Here is a 6,000-nt window from a genome sequence, read left to right on the forward strand (position 1 = left end):
TGGAGTGCAGTGGCACAATCTTGGCTCACTGCAACCTCCACCTCCTGGGTTCAAGCGATTCTCCTGCCTCAGCCTCCCAAGTTACTGGGACTACGGGTGCATGCTACCACACCTGGCTAGTTTTTGTATTTTTAGTAGAGATGGGGTTTCACCACTTGGCCAGGATGGTCTCGATCTCTTGACCTCGTGATCCACCCTCCTCAGTCTCCCAAAGTGCTGGGATTACAGGCGTAAGCCACCGTGCCCTGCCCAGATGCCTCTATTTCTTAATGGACACAATGCAGATGAAAATAAGACCACCTTCTCAGGTTTTTAGGGAAGGGTAAATAGGAGAGTATATGTAGGCTACAAAATACTATTAAAATATTAGTTGCTCGCTTCAACAAAAGCACTCATTTGATGACTTCTTATTGTGAATTAGTGAAGACTTCTTGCTAGACTACGAGGTCCAGAAATAATCGTTCTTATTATTAACTGCAGAAGTAATTAACACATATTTAAATCTGTATTTTAGGGAATAAAAAATATGATTGTCATTTTTCTTCAACTTCCGTAGCTGTTTCTTTCCAGGCTTTTCAGAAAATAGTGACATAAGATCATCTTATATTTATATTTCAGTTGCTTTGCATGAAAATTTGTGGAACTCTCCCAGGTTTTCTGTGTTAAATGTCATCAACAATAAAGGTAATGCATGCCATTCCTTGCAATCTGGTATTGATGTCTTCCTTCTGTCCTGAATCCTTGTAAGAAATAAAAAAAAAAAAAAGATTTAAAAAATTGCCAAGAGGCACCAAGCGATCCATGAACTTTTAGGGAAGCTTTATGAAACAAGGTGTGGTGAATTTCAGTTATACAGGATGATTAAGTTGTAGAGATCTGCTGTACAACATGATACCTACAATGAACAATATTGTGCACTTCAAAATATGCTAAGACAATGGATCTTATGTTAAATTTTACCAACACACACACACACACACACACACACACCTGCACACAAAAGAACACAATATCATTTTGGAGGTGACATATATGTTTAGTACCTTGATTGTGTGATGACATCACAGGTATATGTGTATGTCCAAACTAATTAAATTGTATACAATAAATATGTGCAATTTTTGTATATCAATTGCATCTCAACAAAGCTTAAACAACAGCAAACCAAAATGTGTTCTGTTGGAATCAGTTTGCACTGGCTTGTGAGAGCCAATTGTTACATTTTTATGAATTTTATGAGCCTAATATTAAGCACAACTATTATTAAAAGCTAAATGATATAAACTTACAATTAAAAAATTAAATTTAAAACACAGGTTATTACTCAGAACATATCATTTTCTAATTACTGCACTCCATTTCATGATTATTAGTAATCTTGGAGTTGTTTACATTTGCTATGTCTGCCCAAAGGGAATAAACCTAATGGTGGGAGGCTGCATAGCTCCTTCCAAATGGGTGTGCAGTGATGTTACCTTAGTAGCTTGAAACAGGATGGAAACTGGCAAACACTACAAACCTGAGCTTTCCTGTTCTCTCCACTGGAGACCTGTGGTTAAACATTTACCCACAGATGACGGGGTCAACAAGCAGAAGTGGCTGCAAGTGGCCCTTCAAGGTGCTGTCAGGGTTGGTTTCTCATTCAGGATGGCCTGGAAAACAAACCAGCCACGTCCTGGAAGAACCCTTTTCCCAGTGTGGGGTGGGAGTGAGGCTGTACCAAACATAACTTTCCATGGGACCAGGTACTTCTCTCCAGCAGGTGGATGGCAACATCTCATGTGCTCCAAAGTCTCCAGAAGCTGGGCAGTTGGTGTTTCCAGACAAACACTGTAAGGGCTGGCTCCCCAAAACAGAGTACCTGGGGCAAGCCGCCTGTGTACTTCCCAGTGACAAGGCTATTTTCTCAGTTGGCTCAATAAAGAAGACAGAATAACATGTTGCAAGGCCCATGGGAATGCAAATCCCAGCTGTGGGCCCAGCAGGGCCATGGCCTAAGTATGCATCCTTCTGATGTAAGGGCAGAAACGGTGGGACCCAGGACTTTCCTTTCCTTCTTGCTTCTCCTGCTTTCTCTTTTCCTTAACAAATACAAGAGCCATACCATGTAATACTGTGCTATGTGCCCTGAATTGTGGTATAGGTGAGATGAGACACAAGACCAGCAACAGAAAGAAAAAAAAAACAAAAACAAACGCTTACAAATCTGAAAGCTATGTTAACAAGACCTAGCCATCCACATAGCATCTATTTCATTTTTTGTATCGCATCCTGAGAATTTCTTGCTTATGACATTCAAAAATTTGTTTTTACCTCATATTATTATTAAAAGATGGTTTGCAAAAATACATACATTACATCATGTTGGAATAAATTAAAAATAATTGGGGAATTTGGACAAAGGGAATATGTATAATAGAAGTAGAGGAATTCCAGAATATACAGATGCTAATTATGATATCATAGATCCTTGCAAGAGGTAGACAACAAGTTTTCTCTAGCAGCCATCATGAAGAAGAAAACACAACCATTATATTCACAGGGCCCTTAAGGCACCCACAAACAGACTGTTTAGGAAAAGTACAACTATTTCTGATTCTGCGACAATAGGACCATTTTTGATGTAGTGATTGACGTCCTCAATGACATCCTACAGTTAATATAACATTTAATTTCATTGTGCTGTTTAGTATAATGGCTTGATGTAAGCTGATATTAATTTCCATTGTTATGCATTAATGAATTAACAAACAACTTAGCTAGATTTGGTTATAAGTGTTATCTCTGTCAAGTTTTCCTTTCCTTATCCAAATTCTGCCTGACCCTCTTTTTTGTGTTCCATTGTTGTTTTGTGTCCTCATTTGGTATTTGCTGCAATAATCACTTTCTTATGACATTTATTATTAATTGCAGAAAATTCATGGTCTTTTGGTCTACACAATGATTGATGTTTAGATTCAAATTAATGAAATTTATATCAATTGTATTAATAAGAAAACTTGATACAGCCAACATGTTTTACAAAATTTTTGACCCTAACAACTTATTACTTGGGAATGCCTTTTTAAAATCCAAGGAACTGGTCTTGTAGTCTGCCATCTCTTGCTCTTATTTCTGTGTACCTTAGACTCTCTGAGGAGTCAGAGAAGATATATTCTTTTTGGCATGAAGAATAGCATCTAAATCAGGTCCAACATCACAGGATTCACTTTGGGCAGAGTATGGCAATTACTGTATTAAGTCTATGTGTCAGGCACCTTGCCATATGCTTTCTATATGTTGTTTCATTTAACTCTCACAGCACTGAAGGTACATATTTATTATCTCCATTTTACAGATAAAGAAGCTGAGGTTCAGAGAGGATAAATGAACTACCTGATGTCGCCCAAGGAGGAGCACGTCAAGATTTTCACTAGGTTGTCTTTCATGCCAAAGTGTGTGCTTTGAACTCCAAGTTGCCATGGTGTCAAAGGAGGGAACATTTGGGCTTTCCTATCAGCTTGCCCACATGGGGCAGTGGGAGAAGAAGTGATGGTACTTGAAAGCTGTCAACAGTCAAACATCAAAAATGGAGTCAAACTCTATTACAAACTTGCAGACCAGAGATGTCTCTTCATCAGTGCTCAGCCCAGCTACCCTCTAGGTTGGTCTTTCTGAGGTGGCTGAAATTCATTAATAAAGTGGTGCTGAACCTCTATAGAAAATTGATTTCATATTTCTAGAAGAGTTTTAGGTTCACTGCATAATTGAATGAAAAGTACTGTACAAAGAGCTGCCATACACCCCAACATGCACAGCTCTCTGACTGTCAGCGTCCCCCACCGCAGTGGTACATTGGTTAAAACCGGTGAACCTACATTGACACATCATTATCATCCAGGGTTCCTAGTTTACATTAGGGGTCATTCTCGGTGCTGTACATTCCAGGGGTTTGCAAAAAGGCATCATGGTGATCCTGTGTGTTACTTTTTACCATTTCACACATTTGCTCAGGCAGAGTTCTTTTGCAGACTGATGAAATCTCTGTAGGTTCAGAATCCAGTTTCAAGACACTTATTGCTATCAGTTCCCTTAGGAATGATGGCTTCTGGGGATTGACTTCAGGCTAACAAGGCACATGGACTGATGTATAAACAAGTGCCAACATTAATATTCAGTGGGAATTTTCTTTTCTTGTCACTAGAAAACCTTATCTCATGTAGCCCTTCCCATTACCAAGCTTTCCTGGAATCCAGGTTGCTAACCAAGAAATTGTGAGGCAAACATGAATATATGAAATCATGGTAAAATAAACTGAGTAGGCTTGATGGATATTTCTTTTGAGTTATGGCAGAAATTAAAGAATTATGCCTGCTTTACCGGGGAGTATGTATCTCTAGTGACTTTTATTATCTAGATTCCAGGTCTCTGGGTAAACTCTAACAAACGGTTATTTTTCAACACTGTTTTCTAAACTTCATACAGATTGCCAGGTCATTTTGTTAGCATTTATGAGTAAAATGTGGTCTTCCAGGTTATTCAAAGTCAAAGCTAAGGTTATAGTGACTTAGTCCCCTGAAGAGAGTTAGAGACACACCAGTCTCCTGCACTACTCACTTCAAAGTGCCTGTTGTGAGTCACTTTTGGAGAAGGCTAATCACATCGTATGTTAATTAACTTCAGTTTTAGAGGATGACTTTTCTGATTTTGTTTCCAACTTTTGGGAGTGACTCTCAGTCTTTGGAGCTTATTCTACACTGATTATTTAGGATCCGAAATGAAGGTGTCAAATATATGAAATACAAAAAAATCCCTTGACAAAATGGAAGTCTTATATAAATACAGCTAATTATAAAGACATAAATTCCATGGTTTCCCTCAAAATCCCTCTTGTACCAACCCCACCCCTGTCCCCAGCTTAGGTTGTTTATGACACTTTGGCAAAGTGAATTTCACCCTGGCTCAACTTCCATTGTATACCTATGTTACCAGGACAGTTTTATTCTCTTGGGTTCCTAAAACCAGGATCTGCCAAATTAAGTGTCACTTTCCATTGAGTATGGAACGTGAGCTGCTACCTTCAAAAAGACACCATGAGAAGAAATTTTCCCAGATTTCTAAGTGACAAGGTTTTGGCTTATCAGTATTACATTAATAAATGCAATGTCTGAACAAAAGAATATAACTAAAACAAAACAATTTATGATGTTAATTTACAATCAACATTCCTTTAGTTACAAAAGAATGAAACTAAGACAAAACAATGTAACCAATGACTGTGGATTTGGCTCCAAACTTTAGTGGGTTTCTCTCAAGCTATTCTTTAATAATGATAAATAGCAATTGTAAAATTAAAAAAAAAGAGAGACCTTAAAACTCACCTTCATCTCCTAGTTAAATTTCAGTTTGATACTTTAAAACTCATGCTTGATTCATGTCTCAAGATTATAAATATTCAGATGTCTTATATATTTTTTTGTACATAGCTGTTTAATGCAACAAAAAACATCCATCCTGCTGGAAGTCTCTTTTCTTTTCTTTTTTCTTTCCTTCCTTCCTTCCTTCCTTCATTCCTTCCTTTCTCCCTCCCTCCTTCCCTCCCTCTCTCTCTTTCTTTTTTCTTTCTTTCTTTCTCTCTTTCTTTCTTTCTCTCTCTCTCCTTCATTCCTTTCTTCCTTTCCCTTCTTTCTTCTTCCTTTCTTTCTCTCTTTTTCCTTCCTTCCTTCCTTCCTTCCTTCCTCCCTCTGTCCCTCCCTCCCTCTTTTTTCTTTCTTTCTTTCTTTCTTTCTTTCTTTCTTTCTTTCTTTCTTTCCTTCTTTCTTTCTTTCTTTCTTCCTCCTTCCTTTCTTTCTTTTTCTTTTTCTTTCTTTCTCTCTTTCTCTCTCTCTCTTTCTTTCTTCCTCCCTCCCTCCCTCCCCCTCTTCCTTCCTTCCTCTTTCCCTTCCCTTCTCTCCCCTCCTTTCCCCTCTCCTTCCTTCCTTCCCTGCTTCCTCTTTCTTCTTTTTTTAAATACATCCTATT

At 38.1% G+C, this 6,000-nt stretch overlaps 1 long non-coding RNA gene across 1 annotated transcript in view; it reads left to right on the plus strand.

The window, feature by feature from the left end:
- Nucleotides 1-3,699, plus strand: part of LOC105375448 (uncharacterized) — a 40,971-nt gene extending 37,272 nt beyond the window's left edge. Inside the window, exon 4 of the long non-coding RNA NR_187939.1 lies at nt 3,338-3,699. This is a non-coding gene — a long non-coding RNA (uncharacterized LOC105375448). The remainder of the gene's footprint in view (nt 1-3,337) is intronic.
- The last annotated feature ends 2,301 nt before the right edge of the window (nt 3,700-6,000 follow it).

This window comes from Homo sapiens, chromosome 7 (genome assembly GCF_000001405.40).
Source record: "Homo sapiens chromosome 7, GRCh38.p14 Primary Assembly".
In the NCBI taxonomy this organism is placed as follows: domain Eukaryota; kingdom Metazoa; phylum Chordata; class Mammalia; order Primates; family Hominidae; genus Homo; species Homo sapiens.